Consider the following 23359-nt stretch of genomic DNA (forward strand, 5'->3'; position numbering starts at 1 on the left):
TACTTTAAGTTTTAGGGTACATGTGCACAACATGCAGGTTTGTTACATATGTATACATGTGCCATGTTGGTGTGCTGCACCCATTAACTCGTCATTTAGCATTAGGTATATTTCCTAATGCTATCCCTCCCCTCTCCCCCCACCCCACAACAGTCCCCAGAATAAAGACATTCTTCAGGAAAGGAACAATATGCGAACTGATCATCAATGGAGCTGCTTTAAAAGAAATGCTAAAGAAAGTTCTTAGGTTGGAAGGAGAATGAAAACAGAGGGATGTGCAGGACTTCAGAAATGAAAGAGAGCAACAGGAATGATAAATAGTTGGATAAATATATCACACTATTTTTTTGCCTCAAGTTTTTTTAAAAATATGAATCACCATTGAGAGCAAAAGTTAAAAGACTGATGGGTTTTCGAGGTAGGCAGATCTAATACATTTAATAATTGCAACATATGGAGGTGGTAAAATGTAACCGATATCATTGCAAGTTTTCTATGTTTTCCTCGAAGTACTACAATTTCAACTCTCAGTGTACTGAGAAAAGTTAAGTGTATATATTGTCATGCCTACAGCAACCTGTAAAAGAATTACACAAAGAGATACAGTCAAATGTTGGTCAATTAAAACAGAATACTAAAAAAAAATTCAAGTAGAGCACAACTAGCAAGATAGTAGGTTTCAGTTAAACCTTATATATGAGTACATTATGTGTAAATGGTATAAACACAAAATTAAGGACATTAATTTTCAGATTGGATTAAAAAACCCAAATTATATGCTGTTTACAAGAAACCCAACCTCAACTAAAAAATATAGAGTTGCTAAAAGTAAAATGGGGGAAAAAACTTATCACGTAAAATCCAAGCGAAAGAAAATTGGAAAGGCTATAGGAATAACAGACAAAGTAAAATTCAGAACAAAGACTATTATCAAGAATAAAGGGTGCTATTACATGTTGATAAAAGGGACAATTCAGCAAGGACACAATACAATTCCAGAAGTGCATTCACCTAAAAATGCAACGTCAAAAATTGAGGAAACATCTGCTAGAACTGAAACGAGAAACAGATTAACCCACCATTATAGTTAGAAAGCTTATACTTCTCTGTTAGAGAATCTGTTAGTAATCAACAGAATGACTAAACAGAAAATCAGTAAGGCTACGAAAGTGGTGAACCAGGCTATTAATCAGTTTATTAATCTATTTTTTATATATAGACTTTTCAGTAGACAACAGCATAAAACATATTCTTTTCAAGTTCAAATTGAACTTTCACCAACATAGACCATATTCTGGGCCATAAAATAAACATTGGCAAATTTAAAATAATTGAAATCATATTAAGTTTGTTCTCTGACCCTGATAGAGGTAAGCCAGAAATCAAGAACAGAAAGATATCTAGAAAAATCCCAAATAATTTGGAAGTAAAAGAACACAATTTTAAATAAACCATGGGCCAAAGGAAAAGTCACAGAGGAAACTCTTAGAACTGAACTAAAATAGGTGAATTTTACTGTATTAAATTATACCTCAAAAAATCTGACTTAAAAAAAAATCCTCTCTGCCTTCCTGAATACTATGTCTAGCATTCAATCAAAACCCTCCAAGTGTGCCAAAAAACTAAGATTAAAAAGAAACAAAAAACAGAAGATAAGATCTACAGGCCACTGAGGTGTTTAAAATGTCTTTAAAAACGACTCTGACTGGTGTGTTGAAGAAAATGGAAGATGGTGAAAAAAATAGGTGAAAAAGTGGAGAAGTGGAGCCAAGCATTGGAGTCTACACTGGCTATTCTATAACTGAAATTAATAACTCAATCAATGGTTTTCTATTTATAAGCAAATTAGATACAGTGAAAAGCATTATTAGTGAACTGGAATATAGGTCAGCAGAAAATATCCAGACTGAATGTGAAAAGGAAAAAAGAATACAAATCCAGAAACTAGAACAAGAGACATATGAGACACGAGCAAACATTGGCCATTGGTGTAACTGAAATATCTGAAAGAGAAGAGGGAGTAGAGTAATAGCAATATTTAAGAGATAATGGCTAGCATTTTTCAAAACTCATGAAAGACATCAAGTCACAGATTCTATGAACCCCAAGCAAGACAAATTCAGAGAAAGTCTCATCCAGGCACCTTGTAGTAAAACTATCAAGGCAAAGAAAAAAAATTTTATAAATGTATTTTTTGAAAAAAGTCATATTACCTTCAGAGGAGCAACAAGACTTTCAGCTAGCTTTTCAGCTGAAATAACTGAATCTGAAAATACTGGACATCTGTATTTACAGTGCTAAAAGAAACTAATTGGCAATATAGAAGTCTACACCCAATCTAAATACTATTTAAAATGAGGCAAAATAAAGATGTTTTCAGATAATAAAAGTGGACAGAATTCATCCTCAGCAGACTTTCATCAAAAAATATATGAGGCTGGGCACGGTGTCTCACATCTGTAATCCTAGCACTTTGGGAGGCTGAGGCGGGTGGATCACTTGAGGTCAGGAGTTCAAGAGCAGCCTGGCTAACATGGCGAAACCCCATCTCTACCAAAAAATACAAAAATTAGCCCAGCGTAGTGGTGCACACCTGTAGTCCCAGCTACACGGGAAGCTGAGGCAGGAGAATTGTTTGAGCCCAGGAGGTGGAGGTTGCAGTGAGCTAAGGTCATACCGCTGCACTCCAGCCTGGGGGACAGAGTGAGACCCTGTTTCAAAAAATAAAAATAAAAAATATATATGAAAGGGAGTTTGTCAGGCAGCAAGAAGATGATCTCACACCAAAAATAATAATAATAATAAAATAGAAGAAGGAATAAAGGGCAACATAAAGTGTAAAAATGTGGTAAAAATGAATACGGACTGCACAAAACAATACTAATAGCCATTTCTTGCAGGACTTTAAATAAATGTATCATAGCATGGCGGCAAGAATGGCATAAAAAGCAGAAGGGAGTGAATGTAGTTAGAGGTGTTTCAAAGTCTTCATTGGTAAAGTGGTAGAAGGAATAATTTATAGTATACCGTAAAAAATCAAGGCTATATATTGCAATCGCAAGCATAAACACCAAAAGATAGGAAAAGAATGAACAAGTTATAAGCTGATAGAGGAGGTGACGGGATAATAAAAATATTCAACAAAGACGAGAGAAGATGAGGAAGGAGAGGAAAAGAACAGAAACAACACTATGTGGATGTCCACGAATGCCCAAATGTTGCTGGATGGGCCCACGCCTACACTCCTACTTGAGAGGTCCCATGGCCAGGAAGAAGAGCACTGGCCCAAGAGGAGGAGGGCTTGATTTCTTTTCACCCATTCAGCTTTATCCCTCAAATCACAAAAGCTCTCTCAGTTCTGCTGATGTGAGTTGGGGAGGAATTGGTGATGGGAAAAGACTCTTCATCTCTTCATAAGCTTGCTTTGCTTCTTTTATTTTGAGACAGAGTCTCGCTCTGTCGCCCAGGCTGGAGTGCAGTGGTGCGATCTCGGCTCACTTCAACCTCTGCCTCCTGGGTTCACGCCATTCTCCTGCCTCAGCTTCTCGAGTAGCTGGGACGATAGGCATCCCCCACCATGAACGGCTAATTTTTTTGTATTTTTAGTAGAGACGGGGTTTCATCATGTTAGCCAGGATGGTCTTGATCTCCTGACCTTGTGATCCGCCCGCCTCGGCCTCCCAAAGTGCTGGGATTACAAGCGTGAGCCACCGCGCCTGGCCGCTGCTGCTGCTTCTTCTTCTTCTTCCTCTTCTTCTTCTTCTTCCTCTTCCTCTTCCTCTTCCTCTTCCTCTTCCTCTTCCTCTTCTTCTTCTTCTTCTTCTTCTTCTTCTTCTTCTTCTTCTTCTTCTTCTTCTTCTTCTCCCTCTCCCTCTCCCTCTCCCTCTCCCTCTCCCTCTCCCTCTTTCTCCTTCTTCTTCTTCTTCTTTTTATTTTTATTTTTTTTTTGAGGCGGAATCTCGCTCTGTTCCCCAGGCTGGAGTGCAGTGGCACGATCTCAGCTCACTGCAACCTCCACCTCCCGGGATCAAGCGATTTCTGGCGGAGTTTTGTATTTTTAGTAGAGAGGAGGTTTCATCATGTTGGCCAGGCTGGTCTTGAACTCCTGATCTCAAGTGATCCACCCACTTCAGCCTCCTAAAGTGCTAGGATTACAGGCGTGAGCCACTGTGCCCAGCCTGCTTTGCTTCTTAAAATTAATGTTCAGTTTCTGAAAGCTACAAATTCAAAAACTCAATTCATCCTGAATATTTTAAGTTTGGCTTACAGTTCTTGTTTTTCTATTTATAAGACCTGCAAATCTTAAGAGTCACCTTTTTAGAGCTTTTGGATACCATAAATTTAGTTCTTTAAATAACTTCAAACATTTAAAATTGCAATAAGAAGTGGAATACACTCAAATTTCTCCTGCGGCATTTCAGCTGTCTAATGAGAAAACCCTCCTTAGCACTAATTAATCTTTAAAAATCTAATAATTTAACTTAAATCTTAAGAAATCTAATAATTTAACTTAGAAATGCAATGAGCTCAAAGTCTCTTAAATATGCCAATACCGTGTATAAACGCACTAAGATTTCCATGTAATATTACAAGATGATTTTGATTAGTTAGTTCCACATTTTATATTGGATTTGTGAGATTCTTCATAATAGGCCAAATTATTTAAACATTACAAGACTGTGAAAAATCAAACCTGTCCAGATTCCTTAATACAAAAGGCATATTTTGGCCAGGCACAGTGTCTCACGCCTGTAATCTCAGCAATTTGGGAGGCAGAGGCGGGTGGATCACTTGAGGTCGGGAGTTCAAGACCAGCCTGGCCAACACGGCGAAACCCCATCTCTACTAAAAATACAAAAAAATTGCTGGGCATGGTTGTGTGTGCCTGTGATCCCAGCTACTTGGGAGGCTGAAGCATGAGAATCTCTTGAACCTGGGAGGTGGAGATTGCAGTGAGCTGAGATCACGCCACTGCACTCCAGCCTGGGTGGCAGAGTAAAACTCTGTCTCAAAAAACAAACTAAAAGGCATATTTCTATGGCTATTTTATATTTATATTAATCATATTTATATTTTATATTTATACTAATCATTTCTAGACTTAAAGCTAAGTCTTCCTAGGTTGTAAAAATGCTTACCTACTGAGGGACGAAAGTACTATCCCAATAGTGGATTTTGTGATGGACTAGAGATTGTGGCAGGGGCGTAGTAGGGTCTGGTCAGCCCCCAATGGGCTACAAGGACCTCTCCTTACAGGTATTGAGTCAAGAACACTGGGCATCAGTGGAGGATGTGCCTGTAGCTCATGTTCCTGGATCCAAGCATGTGCAGTTTCTTTATAAGTAGTTTTTAAATTGTGGAACATAACATGTACTCAAAAGTGTATAAAGCAAAAGTACAGCTTAATTATTTTCATCACTAGTTAACAAACATCCTTACAATCACCACCTGGGTCAAGAAACAGAGCATTGCCAGAACCCCAGAGGCTTGTCCCTGTCCCTTCCCAGTCACCATGTGGTCCCACCCTCAAATACAATCACTTTCTTATTTTTCCTGTATACATTTACCACCTAAATATGCATCCAAAATACCATTGGCTACTTTTGCTTTTGAAAAACTTTATCTACAATGGAATCCATAGCACATACCCTCTTGAACAGGCTCCTTTTGCTGCCATGTTTGTGAGACTCATGCTCCTTGTGTGTAGGTGTCACTGTGTAATTGTCATGGCTGTATGGCGTTCTACCCAATGGCTATCCTTGCATTTTTTAACATCCATTCTCTTCCTGATGGGTATGTCGGCTGATTCCAGTTTGGTGCTATGGTGAGTATTTGGCTGTAAAGATTCCTGGCCATGCTCCCTGGTACACATGACGGCCATATCCAGGCCCTGATGTGGGACTGGCAGGTTAGAGGACTGTGTGTCTTCTTCTCCAACAGTTGATGCCAAGCCATTTTCCAGGTTGGTTCCATCAATTCGCATTGTTACTAGCAGTGTATGCAAATCTCCCTCCCACAGTCACCTTTGACACTGGTGCTATCCATCTTTCTAACTTCTGAGGCTCAGATGAGGGTGCCGCAGTGACTCCTTTGGGTGCTGATTTGCATTTCTCTGGTAAGTGAAAAGTGGAGCACTTTTTGATAAATACCTTGCTCCCCTGCATGTCATCTTCTGTGAAGTGTCTGTTCACATCTCATACCTTTTTTTATTTAACTGAGCTGCTCTAATTCTTTTATTATTTGCAGGAATTCTTTCAGGTATAAGCCTGTGATTTATTTATTTTTGTATAAGGCATGGTAGGCAGAATAATTCCCTGCCCCCACCACTGCCCCGCCAAAAATGTCCTGCCCTAATACACACAAAGTCAGAGCCTGCAAATACCTTCCATGGCAAAAGAGACTTTGCTGATGTGGTTAGGGATAGAGACCTGGACATGGGAGAGGATCCCAGATCATCCAGGTAGGCCTAGTCTAATCCCATGAGTCTCAGGAGTGGAGACCCTGTCCCATGGGGCTTGGGGGGAGAGGGGACAACGGATGAAGGGTCAGAGAGATGTGGTGCTGCTGGCTTTGGGGTTGGGGGAAGGAGTCCGGGCCAATGAATGCCAGTGACCCCTGGGGCTGGAAAAGGCAAGGAAGCAGGTTCTCCCCTAGAACCCTGGAAGGAGCCACCACTGCTGAGTCCTGCCTGCTGGCCCAGTAAGGCCCAGGGACTCCAGATCTACTGAGCCAGGAGGTGGCGAGTTCTTGTTGTTTCAAGCCACTCCATTTGTGGTGACTGGTTGCGGCAATAGTAGAAAACTAAAGATTTGTGTGCCGCACGTTGATTCTGCCCCTCTGGCCTTCCTTTGGTTCCCTTAGTGTCCTTCGGTAAGTGGGAGCTCTTGATTTGAATGGAGTCACACTTGCCACATTCCCTTTGATGCTTCTTAGGTCGTGGTTGAGAAATCTCCCCTGGCCTGGGAGCTGGAGAAGCCCCTTCTCCATCATCTCCTAGAAGCCTTGTGCAGCTTTTCCCACTGAGGTCCGCGGTCCCCTCTAGCTGAGGTCTGTGTGTGGGAGGAAGGCCTCTTCGGAATCTTCTCTGTGCAGGTGGCTGACCAGGCGCTCACTTAGTGAGTGCTAAGTGTTTATCTCTTCCCAGCAGCCAGCCAGCCCAAAGCATGAACTCTGCCGTGGTGGGAAGCAGAAAAGTTCCTACTAAACTTTCCCCCTTTTTAGTAAGTGTTTTCTGGACCCCAAAGTGACCTTTTTCAAGAAGTGTGAAGTGTTGTGAGTGAGGCATGGGGGGATGGGGGAGGCTTGGGGGTGGAGGTGAGGATCGCCCTGTGTCAATTACTGGAGGTGGAAAATCCTCGCAAAAGTCACTCAACCTCCCTGAACATCGGTAGTGCCATCTGCTAAATAAGGGTCCTGACTCTTCCCGACTTACCAAATTCCAGGGAAAGACCTGCCGTGCAACAGACACAGGAAAGTGATCAAAACCACTGGTGTTCAAGAAACACACATTGAAACTGGTAAAACTTTTCTGTCCCAAAGTAAACATATTTAGAAACATAATTCTCCCTCTGGTGAGGTTGTGGGCATGTGGCGGCTTGACTGAGCTGGGGGCAAAGGGGCAGCTGTGGGCGTCATGGGAGTGTGTCTGGCTGGGGAAATGGGGTGACTTCCACGACGCAGCGCTTGTGGGTGTGGCCTCCCCACTAGCAGGTGCATGTGGAGGGGTCCTGGCCCGTCTAGGCGGGCCGCACCTTCATCTCTGACACCTTGTAGCTATATTTGTACCCCTTCGCCGCACTCCAGTTGATACCATTGGCATAGCTCTCATGGGGTCCCATGAGGTAGAGACCATTGAGGTTTGAAGCATGACAGTCGGCGTACCACCAGGCTCCTTGGAACTTCTCAGCACAATTCGAAGAACTCACATCATTGTCTTGGTCTTTGGTGGAGAAGAAGTTGTTGTTGTGGCCCGTTAGAGAATTACCTGCTCACAGAAAATGTGGGGTTTGCAGATGCTGGAAAAAGCCCTGCCACTGTGAGACCCTCACCACATCCTGCCTCTGAGCAGAGCCAACCTCACTTTAGCGACGCATGAGCCGAGCTACAGGTGCACAAATGACCCACCCAGGCCTTGGAGGAAGGGGAAGCAGGAGGCAACCTCTGGCAACCTGGTCTGGAAATCTCTCTCCACAACCTGAGGCCCCTGCTCCAGCAACCACCTGTTTCCTCCAGGGCTCCCGCAAACTGTCAGGCCTCCTGCTCTCTCCTGGAATGACCTCCCTCCTCCAGCCTGCGCCGCTCCTTCCGGTCTCTCCCCACGTCCCCTGGTGGCCCTTGGTAGGTTCAGGACAGCCCTCACCTGGGGGCTTCTCCTCTATCTCAAGCCCTGAGCCGGAAGCTCATCCCTGGCTCCTATAGCTGAGAAATGTCACCCCCTGAGCCTCGGTTTTACCACCTGCAAAATGGGGGTGACCTTCCCTGCCCTGCTGCCTTCCTTGGAGGTCATGCGTGAGATCGTGCCTGTGAAAGGACTGCACAGACTCCAAGGCTGTCATTTCCAAGGCTCCCCTGGGACTGCCTTGCTCCATGGAGCAGTTAGTTACACAGACTTCCAGCTGCAGCAATTCTCAGTGCCTTTCACGAACGATGTGCACTGGGAATTCCCTAAGCAGACGCCCTGTAGGAAATGCCTCCCCAGATCGTGTAGCCAGAGACTCCTTTTGGTAAAGAATGTCCCACAAGGCTGGTGTTCCATGGAGCACAGTTTGGGAAACAGCTCCAAGGCACCCATGAGAAAAGGACGACGTCTTCCAGGTTTCAGCAGTGATGCTGGTGGGTCGTCTCAGCCCTGCCCAGGCAGCTCACTGTGCGGCAGACATAGCCTTAGGAATACCAGCCGCTATGTCCTGTGAGCCCCACGCTGTACAGAGACACAAATGCTAGTGTCTGCTTCATAGATGGAGAAATGGGATTCAGAGAGAGGAGGGCCCAAGGTCACCAGGGGAGACAGAGCCAGGTTCTCTCTGCTTTCCAAGCCCCACTCAGGCCACCAGCCCCAAGCAGACACTCACCCGCACTGCCCCCGACAAAGGCTCCCAGTACCAGCTTGTACTTCTCTGCCTCGTCAGCCACCTTGAATGATTTGTACTTAGCAAACTGGTGGTTGCCCTCAAAGTCCACCAGGTCTACACGGAGCTCGCTGCTTCCTGTTGGAAAAAGATTTTAAGGCCCCAGCCTTTAAGATCTTTCTGTCACCAGGCATGAGGGCTGGGGATGGGTAATTTTTTTTTTTTTTTTTTTGAGACAGAGTTCCGCTCTTGTTGCCCAGGCTGGAGTGCAATGGCACCATCTCAGCTCACTGCAACCTCCGCCTCCTGGGTTCAAGCAATTCTCCTGCCTCAGCCTCCCCAGTAGCTGGGATTACAGGTGTGTGCCACCACACACAGCTACTTTTTTTTTTTTTTGTATTTTTAGTAGAGATGGGGTTTCACCATGTTGGTCAGGATGGTCTCGATCTCTTCACCTCATGATCCACCAGCCTCAGCCTCCCAAAATGCTGGGATTACAGGTGTGAGCCACGGTGCCCGGCTGGGGATGGATATATTCTTAAGGGATGTCTGAACGTGGCATCCAGGAAAAAAATCAACCGGAAATGTCAGAAAATCCCTTGTTGCTATCAGGCCCTCAGGGATGGCTTTCTGTTTCTAAACACCTTTCCCGTTATTTCAGAGAACTGAACATGCCCCACTGGAGTTCACTGGGTGGAAGGGAGCATTCTTTCATTTTGAAAGTGTACCTTCTCCTTCTAAGGGTTGGTGAGCCACTAACACAGCAGTGGGCGAAGCTCTAATTGTAGTTTCTTTTGCAGGAATTTGAGGCACCTGAGTGGATTCCTTCAATCATGCCACAGGGCAGTGGGCAGGGATAATGGACCAGCAATTATACAGACTGCCTCAGGACCAGCTGTGAAACTCATCCCCTGCCCCAGAGGGTTGGGGGGAGGCCCTCTCACTCAGGTGAGTGCGGCTGTGGGGGGCCTGCTGAGGCGTGGGCTGGAGGAGGCGAGCGTGGGCTCTCCATGGGACTAAGATGCCAGCTTCAGAGGCAGATCAACAGCTGGAGATGGGGGAAGGCTACCCCAAGCCCCAGTGGTCTCTCTCCTGCTTCCCACTCTCAGGATCTAAGATGCCAGTAGGACCAAGACCTGAAGAGGCCTTCAGCCCAGGGCTCTAACCGTTTCCCTTCCCGATGTTGCCAGAGCCTGCGGCAGGGGACGCAGCCCTTAGAGGTCCCAGTGCCACCTGAGTGTGCTCAGGGCCCAATCCCCTGTGGGCCAAGAGGTGCTTATGTTGCAGATGGCCCAGGCCTAAGGGGCAGGAGCACCTCAGGGCCCCCCAACCCCTGAGCCACGGCAGTGGCCCTACCCTGGGCAGTCAGGGCGTGGATGTTGTCATTCCCCAGCCAGAACTCCCCCAGCTGACTGCCGAAGCCCTGCTTGTATGCGGCCCAGTCCCGATAGAAGTCCACAGAGCCATCCATCCTCCGCTGGAAAACCTGTGAAGAAGCCAGGATACAGAGTTAGGCGGGGCAGGCCGAGGTCCCACAGCACCGGGGACCCGCCCTCCAGAGGAGCAGCATTTGTAGTTGGCAGAGCATCACAGGCCGGTGCCACACGCACGCCCATCTGGTCTCCTCACAGACTCCACAGGATGAAAGAGGAAATGCGGTCTCAGAGAAGAGAGGCAACAAGCCCCAAGCCACACAGCAGGAGAGCACCGGTCCCCTCCCAGCCTCCCCGATGGCCTGGACTTTTACCCACGGGTCACTTCCCCCATCATCTATGATTGTCCCCATCCAGGGGAATAGAGAATTCCAGAGTGTGTTCTACAACCAGGTGTGCAGCCTGGCCTCCGGGACTCCCAGGCTGACCGCCTCTGCCCAGCCCCACACTCACGGTCCAGCCCCCTCCGTCCGTGTCCATGTCACAGAGCACAGTCAGGGGCCGGCAGTCGGGCAGGTAGATGGTGTGCCAGCCGCTCAGGAAATACCCCCGGTCTAGCAGGTCCTTGCAGTTGCGTGGGCCTGGGAAGGGAACCCGGGGAATGGCTGCAGGACGGGGGCCCTGGGCAGGACAGGGGCAGTGGGAGGGAGGCCCAGGAGGGAGGAGGAGGGCCACAGGCTTCTGTGCGGACCGAGCAGGACTCCGAGGCCTGGACAGGGACACGGCCCCCAGGGCCACGCAGCTGTGATGCCCACACCCAGTCTGCCGACCCTCCCACCTCCCAGTGTCTGCCCCACCTTTGCCTCCTGGGCACCCGGCCTTCTAGGGTAGATAATAGTAGAGCCCAGGTTGTCATGGAAGGGATTCAGGTGATAGCTGCCCATTACTCGAGTGATTGAGGGGGGGATGATAGGTGCAGACAGGGTTCTGTCCTTAGATTCCGTAGCGTGAACGTGTGCAGCTGGCCCCAGGGGTGGGGGCAAGGCTTGGGTACCGAGGTCAGGGTGTGATCAGTCACCTGTCGCACACGACTGAGACTGCCCAGCGTCTCCTGTGTGGGGAGAGGAGACACTTGTCATAAGCTTGAAATCAGAGCCTTTGTCCTGGTCAGCCCCAGTGGCTCCCTGAGCACAGAATAGAGAATGGGCAAAGGCAGCTCCTCTGATGTCTCCAGGACACGTGGCACAGGCCTAGGGAAGGATGGCCAGACTCGACTTCCCCAGAGGCACCAGCCACATGGTTGTCCATAGGCCCCTGCTGTGCAGCTTGAGCTTGGTGGGCTGTGGCAGGCGCTGCGGGTCCTGCTGGACGAACTGGACCCCTAGTGGGGCCTTCGCCACTGATAACAGCGGAATAACTCTTCAAGCCTGGCAGGGTCACTCCAAGCCTGCCCTGCCTCCGCCCTGGCCTCTGTTTCTTGGGACTCAGGTATCGGCGGACCCTCAGCCCCCGGCTCCGGTTTTCATTTGTGTTTGTGGGTGGAGCGTGGTACAGTGTATTAGAGTCTTGCACATTTGGCTTTTTTAAACTTTTACAATTTTTGCATAAATGAGCATAAGTAAGACAGAAATTGAAATATTGAAGTGTCACCATCTATGCACTGATGTGGTCCTGCTGGCCACTGGGAGTGACTGCTGTAGACACCAGGGTTTGAGCCCTCGTGGATTCTGACAACAAAGCCCGCTGGACTCCTTCCACCCCTCCCTGCCCACAGCCTGGATTGACAGGGACGTGGGCGGTGGGCAGGCGGACTGAGGCCTCTGAGACCCCTCCCCTGGACAAAGCCTGCAGAGACAACTGCCTGGGCCCACGGGTGGCTCACCTTTCTCTCCACGCATCCCCTTCTCTCCTCGGTCTCCTGGAGGAAGAGGCAGGATAATGAGCTTTTGACCCCAGATGTGTGGGCCACGGAAAGGCTGGTCCAGAGTGGGCTCCCGGCCTGGACACTGCATCTCCCCAGCCCTGCAGGCTCACTAAGGCATCACAACGCCCAGGTCTCAATGGTGGGGAGGGGCCCCGAGGCCTGGAATATCCCAGGGTCCCTGTCCGCCTGCCACTGTCTTTCTCTCTCTGTTGCCGTGTCTCTCTGTGTCTGTGTCTGTGTCTCTGTCTCTGTCTCTCCCTCCCTCATTTCATTACAGACAGCTCCAAGGTCCCTGCTCAAGGCCTCCTCGCTGTCTGTCCCCTGGTTACCTTTGGGCCCCACTGGTCCTGCCTTTCCAGGGGCTCCAGGGAGACCGCGTTCTCCTGAAAATTCCAAAGACATATCACTGAGAAAAATGCAACCTAAACAATTCTCCCTGGAAATCTTTGCCCCAAGTGGTTAAGTCCTGACCCTCCCCCACTCTGCCTTGAACCCCTTCTGGTTCCAGGAGCTCTCAGAATTGCTAGCCATGGATTTAGCCTGGGGGTGACTGCAGATGGAGGTGAGGGATTGAGGGAGGGGCCTGCACCCCACCTTGGGCTCAAGGCAAGGTGCACCTTGCTCCTGTTTGTGCCTTGGGAGCAACCTGGGTTTCACACTCTGTTGACCATAAGCCTGGACCCAAGTCACCCACACAGAGCTCTACTGCCTAGCAAGGGACCAGGTTCTGGAACAAAGAATGCGTCCTCAGAGAGCCTCATCCTACCACGTCCCCACACGGAGAGGGTGGGCGCCACGTGCAGCCGCTGCTGCCAGGGAGGATCCGGTTCCACCGTGCGCCTGAGCTCCTGGGGTGTCACACAGCGCTCCACGTGGTTCTGGCCAGAAAGGTGACCCTCCCGTCCCCGATGCCAGCCAAGAGGCAGCCCCCAGCCCGCTCGCTGACCCCAGTGGCTGGGGAGAGTGTATGGGGGCTGGTTCTTGCTTTAGGGTATATTAGCCAGCCATGCCCACTGGTAGAAGCCTGGTTCAAGGGAAGTCTGAGCCAGACTTGATTCTTCTCCTGCCAGGGAAGGTCTTCCTCCCCAGTGTTCCCTCAGCAGGGGATCGGGACCGCACTCTCAGGTCCAGCCTGCGGAGTGGGCACAGAGGACCTGGCCCCGGACACCCACACGGAAGCCTAGACACGTCAGTGAAAGTCCAAGTCATAGGGACATTTGAGCTTGTCCCATCTACACTGGGACATCCCCACCAAGTGCTCCGCAGGCATCATCTTGAATGCGTCCAGGCATGGGGAGCTCACCCCCTAAGGCAGCGCCCTTTCTGAGTTTTTGTGCACGTCTGCCTTATGCCATGCTTAGGGGGACCCAAAACCACCCAAGGCAGGTGCCTGCTGTTCATTCTCCCATGTTCCCTGCAAATCCACATGCAGAGCTCAGGGCTCAGGATTCGGGTGCCCTCTGTGCCCTGAAGTAGACCAGTCCAAGTCCCAGCCCCACTCCTTACTGGTTTGTCAAGTAGGAAAGCCTGTGACCTCTTTGAGTCTCAGTTTTCCCATATGAGGCAGGTGCAGAAGAAAGCGGTCACCTCAATTTTCAGGTGAGAAGGTGGAGGGACACAGAGCTTAGAAGTCGTGCCAGTAGCTGAGCAAAGCTGGTATTGGATCAAGGACTAGGAGACAGAGCTACAGAAGCATGTCCAAATGTGAGCTCATGAAATAGTTAGGAAAGACCCTCCCTCCATTTCAGAACCCTGTTGGGCCCTGGGAGTCAGCTCTGTTCCTGGCTCTAGCAGGGGCCTGACCCAGGCTCTTGATCTAGGAACCACGGTGGGGGTGTTGCCCAACTCTGCATCCAGTTTCATAAAGAGCAAGAGCCAGTGCCCCTGCCATGCCTGGCCTCCCCACCCGGCCCGCACCTACCTCTCTCTCCAATGACACCTGCCTCTCCCTTTGGCCCTGGGGCCCCGGGCAGCCCCGGGCAGCCTCGGAGAATGGTGAGCTTGTCAGAGCCCTCCAGGCCCACCACCTTCACCTCTGCAGAGAAACACAGGTGCCCACTCAGTGCCTGGCCCAACAGTGGCTGGGAAGTGAGGTTTTCTGCTCTGCTGGGGCCTTGGTCTGTCCTCACCCCTCAGGCACTGGTGAGGCGGAGATGTGATGGGGGGCAGAGCTCTGGCTTTGGAGGCCACCCCGACCTAGGGGAGCCCCATCTCCTCAGTGCTGTGTGTCCTGCAGCAAGTAACTTAACTCCTCTGAGCTTTGTGCCCTGGGCTGCCAAGCGGGGATAATAACAAGGTTGCGGCCAGGATTTGGTTAAAGAATGTGCATTTTAAATCTCTTATTGTAATTTATGGCATTTAGAAAGAGCTTAATAAACAGCGGGCACTTTCAATAACTAATGACAATCAATATTTCTAAGAAACTTGGGGAATTGGGGCTGACAAAGCATTTTCCCTCCCAGACCTTGGGAATGTGGTTGTAGAATTACTGGGCTGGAAGGGGCTTTCTAGGTCCTCTGGAGAGGGGCAGTGTGGGGTCCAAGGACACAGAGCCAGGTGTGGCACAGCTGCAGCCAAACCAAAGTTGTTTACTTCTTTGAAAAAATATTTTTCATTTTGTTCATTACAAAATCTACACGCCCTGCTAAGGGCGCTCTTAGAGACCATGGAACGGAGCAGTGCTCTCACCGGAGACATGGCACTGCCATTTTTGGGGTATTTCCTTTCTGTGTTTCCAGTCCTCCTTCCACTAGAGCAGGCTGTAATTTACTATTTATGTTTCCTTCATAAATATGTTATCAGCCAGGGGCACCAGGCCGTCCTTAGGAGCAGTCTCTTGCTGAGCGTCACAGAACCACCTGCTCCTGAATCAGTGAGGGAAACACCTTACCACCGTTCAAACCCTTGTCCCTATCAACTGATTCCGACTCTCTTGGAGGAGAGCCAGAAATCTGCCTTTTTAACAAACCCCCCAAGTCCGTGTGGCAGCCACCGTATTAGAGGGTCTTAGAGTGCCTCCCTGGTAAGCCCGTAAGAAGATAAAGTCAACAGTATTTTCTTCCTTCTCAGTGACAGATTCCAGACCCACCTATGAAGCTCCAATGGGCAAATCCTGGGCTTTCGAGGCAGACAGACCTGGTGACATCCCTCCCCTATCCCTCCATGACCCTGGGCAATGCCTCAGCTGCCCTGAGCCTCCATGTCCTTGCCTGAGGATAAAACAGATCTGTTGGGCATCTTCACAGGAAGATGTGCATAAAAGGTTTTGCCTGGGACACCCGAGTGTCAGTGAGTGGGGTTGTTACCAGCTTTTAGGGACCAGAAAACCCAGGTCTGTCTCACCTGGACATGTGTCCGCAGCCTGGGCAGGCAGGTTCTTGATATGCAGGAACAAGACTAGCAGGACAGCGAGCCCCCGGGCCATGGTGGCTCCACTCAGCTCCATGCTCTCTGGCCTTTGACTCTGAAGAGTCCCCCAGCTCTAACAGGGCAGAGGAAACCAGCTCTCGCCTTGTGCCACAGTTTCTCAACTCCCTGGGGGACACCCACTTCCTATGGGCTGCTTAGTTGCACCAACAGGAGGTATGAGGTCATCTCAAAGGATGTTTCCTTCCACTAGGCTCCAGCAAGATGCCCACCCCATTGGGCTCTCTTCCCCCAGCAAAGACACCCTGCTCCCAGTCCAGAGAGCTCCTGAGACTCCTCTGCTGGAAAGCATCGGCTTTGCTTGTGGCTTAAGGAGAACACAGCCCCCACACCCCCTTTCCATTCCCCAGCTGTCCCCAAGCAATACTCGGAAACCTTGACCTTAACCTTGGGGGATAAGGAAGGTTTTGCTGAAGACGCTTCCTTGCCTCATCTGTTCCCAGAAAATTCAGGGTTTGTCCGTCATCAGGCACTTATCATGGATGGAGAGGAAAAAAATGTTGAGCACTTGTTATGTCCCAAATACTATTTCCATCATATCATCTTGCACCAGCCCCATTCGGTGGAGTAAATTATTTGAAAGTTACAGCTGGAGAAATTGAAGTCACTCCACTAGTAAGAGCCAGGCATTGGACTCAATTCTGTCTAACGCCTTGTAGATCACTGGGATTGCTCATTTCACCTGAAGGTGGGGATGCCTCTTGTTCCCCCAAATCCCTGAGGCCATGTTCCTACTCCGCATCTCGTGCTGTGAATCATGCTTAGCCAGGCCACGCTGTGGACACTTTGTGCGGGATTTTTAGAACGTATAGAAATAGTCACTAACGAGAGTCAGATGGTAGCAGGACTAAGGAGCAGGGAGAGGTGTTGTTTTGTGGTTTGCAACTTCTCTGAGCCAGCGTGTGTAGACTGGGTTTCCAAACTCAAGGGCTCCCCAGGTGGGAGAGAAGTGGAGGGGCGGCCCAGGGGTGGGGGATCCAGGAGACACAGGACCTTGTGTCCAGGCTCTCTGGGCACCACAACGACTCTCGACTGTGTGTGTTTGTGTGTGTTGGCTCCAGCCTGTTGAGAGACAACGGCAGGAGGCTTCATTGCCTCAGACACCGCTTAGTGTCCCTGAGCTACTGGCCCAGGCGGGAGAGGTCTGGGTGTCAGTGGTGCGGCCTCCTTTCTTGGAGAGGATCCAATTCAGGAGCAGCACTCACCTGGGATTGGGTCAGAACAGGGAGAAAGCCAGCAGGTCTGTGCCCCTCAATTCCATTTGCCAGCTGCCCCCTGGGTGTGAGGGGACCTCCTCTTCCTTGCAACATCAATAGGTTTATTTCAGGTGAGAAGTCAACACCACCTTCAGATATCAAGTCAATGTTCCCAAGAGTATGAAAGAATGCAAGATTCTGGCAAGTTAAAATATCTTAACATTGGATCAACAAAAGTCATTTGATTCCTGGCAATGGCAGTTTAGGTATTTGGGGGCATCCTATTAAGGACAAACAGACAAAACCTTTAAAAAGAGATTTGCTCGAAGGCACCGTCAAGCTAGCTATGTAGTAAAGGATTACTTTGCCAAGCTCTCAGGAGCCACAGAAATCTTAGAGAAGTGAAACTAGTAGTGGGGACCTCTTTTTGCACAGGGATTTGCCAATCTCCAAAAGAGAGGTGAGAAGTTGGGCAGTGATTTCACCATCTTGCAGAGCTGAAGGTCAAAGACTGGGGCCTACGGCCTGCCAAAGGTATGGGTTTGGGGTTGGCTTTCAGAAGGGCTGCACCCTAGCAATAGGATGAGTGAGCAACAACCAACATTCACAAGGGCTGCAAACTGGTTTTGAGACATCTAAGTGTCCCAGGAAAGGAATCTCAACTCCTGGAATTATTGCTCATGCCCCCAGGCTCCTTGCTGAAAGAAACAAAAATCTTCTCTGAAGGAGAATGACATCATCCCAGGTCATTATTTCTGCAAAGTGTTTTATTTTTTTCAAATGAAATGTTAAAACACAATCAACGATAACCAGGCTCATGGGAATAAAAGACAATGTGTATAAGGACCAACAGAAACAACAGAATATAGAAAGAGGTCTTTGGAAGCTGTGGATACAGAAGTTACAACATAATTAACAGGAAAAATGGAAAACCATCCTCAGAGACTGAGAACAAATAAGGATGCTTGTCATCACCACTGTGGTCAACATTGTATTGCATGTCACTGTCCAGTGCAGTAGGCAAGAGAACAAAACCATAAAAAGATTGGAAAGGCAGACACAAAGTTGTTATTTTCAGAAGACATGATTGAGGATGTAGAAAATTCTAGAGTTTCTACAGATAAACTAGCAGAATAAAAAGTTTAGCAAAAATCAATTGTGCTTCTAAAAACTAGCCTCAAAGAATTTAAAAATGAAATTTAAAAAATTTGCATCAGCAACACCAAATTCAAATAACTGTGAATAAGTCTAACAACATCCATGCTGGTCTTCTGTGTACAAAACTATCAAATAGGAACAGAAAGACCTAAAAGAAGATTAAAATAATTAGAAGGATATTCTATATGTGTGGATTAGAATACCAAATATAGGAAAAACATTCATCTTCTCTTAATTTATCTAAATATCCACTGTATTATCAATTAAACTACCATTTTCTGTGACAATTGACATGGTGAATTTAAAATTTATATAAAGGGCCGGGTGCAGTGGCTCACACCTGTAATCCCATCACTTTAGGAGGCTGAGACAGGTAGATTACTTGAGGTCAGGAATTCAAGACCAGCCTGGCCAACATGGTAAAACCCTGTCTCTACTAAAAATACAAAAATTAGCTAGGCATGATGGTGGGCACCTGTAAACCCAGCTACTTAGGAGGCTGAGACAGGAGAATTGCTTGAACCCAGGAGGCGGAGGTTGCAGTGAGCCAAGATCGAGCCACTGTACTCCAGCCTGGACGACAGAGTGAGATTCCATCTCAAAAAATATATAATATATATATTTAGCAGGGTGTGGTGGTACATGCCTGTAGTCCCAGCTACTCAGGAGGCTGAGGTGGGAGAATTGCTTGAACCCGGGAGGTGGAGGTTGCAGTGAGCCGAGATTGCACCACTGCACTCCAGCCTGGGCAACAGAGTGAAACTCTGTCTAAATAAATAAACAAATAAATAAATAAATAAATAAAATTTATATAAAGGCAAGAGGCTGATAGCCATGCTATTCTTGAGCAAGAAAAAACAAGGGTGAGTTGCTTGAAGTGACACCAGCAGTCATTATCAAGCGATAGTGATGGAGACAGTGTGGGGCTGGCTTAGGCGTACACAGCAAACCTAGGGAAGTGAGTAGGGAGTGCAGAAGCAAATCCAGGCACATACGGACCCTAGATTTATGACATGGTGGCTCTAAAGAGCAATAGTGAAAGAATAAACTTTCAATGAGTGGCACAAACTACTGGAGAGTCATATGGAAAAACAAGAAGTTACACTTGACTTTTATCAGATGAAAAAAAAATCCACATCAGGAGAAGGGTAGACCCAAATGTGAGAGGGAAAACAGCAGTTTTAGATCATATTATAAGATCTCCAATAGCCTTGCAGTTATTTTAAATAAGATGGAAAACCACAAACCATAAAGGACAAGTGGAAAAATTGATCATGAAAATAGTATTATTTCTTTTTCAAAATACACCACCGTGGGAGGGAAAAGACGAGCCAGGGTGAGGGAAGAGAGGTTTCAACACACAGAAGTGACAAAAGGCTTGTATCCAGAATAAAGGGTTTCTGTAAATCAACGATGTTGTAGAAAGTGGGAAAGTGACTTCAACAAACGCTTATAAAAGATAATATTTAATAGATGATGGAAGTATGAAAACATGCTCAACTTCATAACTAATCCAAGAAATGAAAACTTAAATCTCATGAGATGACTGCAGACACTAAAATTTTTCTAAACAGCCAACTCTGCAAGGTTTTGGTGAAGAAGTGTCAGAAACCTTGGTACAAGCACTTCGGAAAACTGGCAGTATTCCCAACAATTCCCTACGACCAGCATATTCCATAACCAGCGATGTTCAGCTCAGTTCTACTCAACAGAGAGGTGTGCCCAGCTGGAAAGAAGACACGTGTGAAAATGTCCAGCCCCACGCCGGAAACAACCCAAACGTCCATCCGCAGCAGAATGGGGCCGTCAGCTGAGGTTCGTTCATACTGGAGCATCCTGTAGACCCATAAAATGATCGGATTCCAGCTTCACGCAAAAGCTTTGTTGAAATCCGCAAGCACACGGAGCATCCAGGGCGCCAGCACTAAGGCATGCGAACTGTTCATTTGCATCTGTACAGAGTTTGAAAGTGGGCAAAACTGAACAGCAGTGTGAAGGAATGCATGCTCGGTGGCAACGTGGAGAAAAAGGCCCAGACCATGCCAGTGAGATGACCGCTCCCTTAGCAGGGGCCAGTGAGACGACCGCTCCCTTAGGAGGGGGAGCCCTTAGGCCTGGAAGGGGCACGGGGGGCTGGAGATGGGTTTTGGCTTCATTGGGTGATGCAGGTTTAGTTTATGCACTCTGGTGAATGGGTGTTAAATTTCACTTAAAAGAGCAAGCTTAAATAAACTATTTAAGTAAAATAAATAGAACACATAAGGGTCACCATCGTCCTGTATTGCTCCCACCACAAGCTATAGCCCAGCTGTCTCTGGGAGGTTTGGGGATGTTGAATGCCTGCTGGTTCACTTCCCTGTTGCAGCTCAGGCTTCTGGGAGGTTGAGCAACCCCTAGCCTGGCTGTTGCTTCACGTGCTGGGTCTGCAGCCTGAGATGAGCCTTGGAAGGATACAGAGGGAGAGGCCAGCCAGTGAGGCTGGTCAGAGTGGGGCTGGTCAGAGTGGACAGAGGGAATTCCTTCCCCCTGGACCATGCCCACCCCCGAGGGGTTCTGACCCCATGGGTCAGCAAGGCAGAAACTCTCACACTGTAAAATGCAACAGTTTATTATGAAGAGAAGAAGTGTGGCTGCAACCAAAAGAAAATATAATCTAGCAAAAAGCCTGGCTGCCCAAGCCCCAGGAAGGGTCCTTCTGGCAGATGACACAGGATCAGTCACAGGCTGCTGTGCGGATCATTGGGGATATGCCCTCACCGCACCCTGCCCCTCGAGATTACAACCAGGGCAGCCAGAGGGGTCCTGCTCCACTTCCTCCTGGAGTTAGTCATCCCCAGGACAGCCTCTGCGGCCTCCTCACCCCCAGGGTGTGCCATGTGGTACTTCCTCTCTGCTCTAGTGGACCTGGGGGTCCTTGCTGTTTCTGTTTTGTTTTTTTTTCCTGAGACAGAGTCTTGCTCTGTTGCCCAGGTTGGCGTGCAGTGGCGTGATCTCGGCTCACTGAAGCCTCTACTTCCCGGGTTCAAGCGATTCTCCTGCCTTAGCCTCCTGAGTAGCTGGGATTATAGGCACCTGCCACCACTCCCAGCTAATTTTTTGCATTTTTAGTAGAGACGAGGTTTTGCCATGTTGGCCAGGCTGGTCTCAAACTCCTGGCCTCAGGTGATCTGCCTGCCTCAGCCTCCCAAAGTGCTGGGATTACGGGCTTGAGCCACTGTGCCCGGGTGTTCCTTGCTATTTCTGAAATCAAGAAACATCCTTATAACTGGTTTATGCTTGCCATAGGGGTGCCACACTGTGCTCACCTGTTGAAGCTCAGGTAATACAGCGACAATGCCACGGAATAAGAAGCCACCTGAGAGAGGGTGGGGCTCGCTGCACACCTGCTCTGGGTCCACACACCCCAGGAGCTGCATGCAGATGACTGCACAGAGGAGCCCTCCCAGGCACGTTAGTTCAGGACTCCACGTATGCGGGAGGAATGGCAGAGACTCAAATGACACTCTCCAAATATCCCCAACAACTGTGGACAGGACAAAGTTGAGTTCCCGGCTCACCACAGTGAGGGACAGTGCCAGCTCAGAGTGCTACAGCAGTGCCTCAGATCAGGAAGGGAAGGAAAGGGAAGGTCCAGCTTCTTGAGAGCTCCAAGTCTGGTTTAGGGTGGATCTTCCAGAGGGCTGGGTCAGGGGATTTCGATGTAATAGTTTTGGGTGGGTGCACACAGTACAGCCAGTACCTTGAGATGAAGAGGGTTCAAGAGTCCTGGAGCATACACTCTGGATTCCTGTTGAAGAGTCAACGGGAAGAGTCTCTTGGTTGCAGAGATTAGTCCCACCATCAAGGACTTGAAAGACATAGGGGTGGTGTTTCCCACCACATCCCTGTTCAACTCTCCCATTTGGCCTGTACAGAAGACAAATGGATCTTGGAGAATGACAGTGGATGATCGTAAGCTTAACCAAATGGTGACTCCAATTGCAGCTGCTGTACCAGATGTGGTTTCACTGCTTGAACAAATTAACACATCTCCTGGTACCTGGTATGCAGCCATTGATTTGGCAAATGCCTTTTTCTGCATTCCTGTCCATAAGGCCTACCAGAAGCAATTTGCCTTTAGCCTGCAAGGCCAGCAATATACCCTCACTGTCCTATCTCGGGGGTATATCAACTCTTCACCTTCGTGTCATAATCGTGTTTGCAGAGGTCTTCATCGTTTTTCCCTTCCACAAGGTATCACACTGGTCCATTACGTTGATGAGATTATGCTGATTGGATCCAGTGAGCAAGAAGTAGCAAACGCACTGGACTTATTGGTGAGACATTTGTGTGCTAGGGGGTAGGAAATAAATCTGAGTAAAATTCAGGGAACTTTTCCCTCGGTAAAATGTTTAGGGGTCCAGTGACGCAGGGCCTGTCGAAATATTCCTTCTAAGGTGAAGGATAAGTTGCTGCATTTGGCACCTCGTACAGCGAAGAAAGAGGCACAACGCCTCGTGGGCCTATTTGGATTTCGGAGGCAACACATTCCTCATTTGGACATGTTACTCCAGCCCATTTATTGAGTGAACAGAAAGGCTGCTAGTTTTGACCTACATCCTGAACAGGATAAGGCTCTGCAACAGGTCCAGGCTGCTGTGAAAGCTGTTCTGCCACTTGGGCCATATGACCCAGCAGATCCAATGGAGCTTGAGGTGTCAGTGGCAGATAGGGATGCTGTTTGGAGCCTCTGGCAGGCCCCTATAGGTGAATCACAGTGGAGTTCTCTAGGATTTTTGAGCAAGGCCCTGCCATCTTCTGCAGATAACTACTCTCCTTGGGAAAGACAGCTCTTGACCTGTTACAGGGCTTTAATGGAAACTGAAAGTTTGACTATGGGTCATCAAGCCACCATGTGACCTGAACTGCATGTCATGAACTGGGTGCTTTTTGACCCATCTAGCCATAAAGTGGGTCACGTACAGCAGCATTCCATCACCAAATATCTACGTGATTGGGCTTGATCAAGTACTGAAGGCACATGTCAGTTATATGAGGAAGTGGCTCAAATGCCCATGGTCTCCACTCCTGCCACCCTCCCTTTTCTCCCCCATCCTGCACCGATGGCCTCATGGGGAGTTCCCTATGATCAGTTGACAGACAAAGAGAAGACCAGGTTCACAGATGGTTCTGCATGATATGCAGGCACCTCCCGAAAGTGGACAGCTGCCGCAC

At 48.5% G+C, this 23359-nt stretch overlaps 1 protein-coding gene across 1 annotated transcript, besides 1 other annotated feature; it reads right to left on the reverse strand.

Annotated features, from left to right (window-relative positions):
- On the reverse strand, positions 1171-15851 carry FCN1 (ficolin 1). The gene is made up of 9 exons (NM_002003.5): positions 15708-15851; positions 14287-14400; positions 12695-12748; positions 12324-12359; positions 11520-11552; positions 10955-11082; positions 10425-10554; positions 9072-9206; positions 1171-7984 (listed from the first exon to the last, which is right to left on the reverse strand). Exons 1-9 carry the CDS (start codon positions 15808-15810, stop codon positions 7737-7739), a joined length of 981 nt encoding a protein of 326 aa, NP_001994.2. The 5' UTR covers positions 15811-15851; the 3' UTR covers positions 1171-7736.
- Positions 22955-23094: an enhancer, noted in NCBI's record as "active region_29290". NCBI's record gives its function as "activates an Ori minimal core promoter by ATAC-STARR-seq in GM12878 lymphoblastoid cells {active_cell/tissue: GM12878}" and the evidence as "EXISTENCE:reporter gene assay evidence [ECO:0000049][PMID:35858748]".

This window comes from Homo sapiens, chromosome 9 (assembly GCF_000001405.40).
Source record: "Homo sapiens chromosome 9, GRCh38.p14 Primary Assembly".
NCBI classification, from domain to species: Eukaryota; Metazoa; Chordata; class Mammalia; order Primates; family Hominidae; genus Homo; species Homo sapiens.

Bases quoted from the DNA above. Each gene is read 5' to 3' on its own strand.
- FCN1 (NM_002003.5), bottom strand. From the start codon at position 15,810: ATGGAGCTGAGTGGAGCCACCATGGCCCGGGGGCTCGCTGTCCTGCTA. The intron at 11,083-11,519 runs GTGACTGATCAC...TTCCCTTCCCAG, and splicing joins GTCTCAGTCGTGTGCGACAG to GCCCACGCAACTGCAAGGAC. The intron at 9,207-10,424 runs GTAGGGCCACTG...TTTTTCCAACAG, and splicing joins CCACGCCCTGACTGCCCAGG to GAAGCAGCGAGCTCCGTGTA.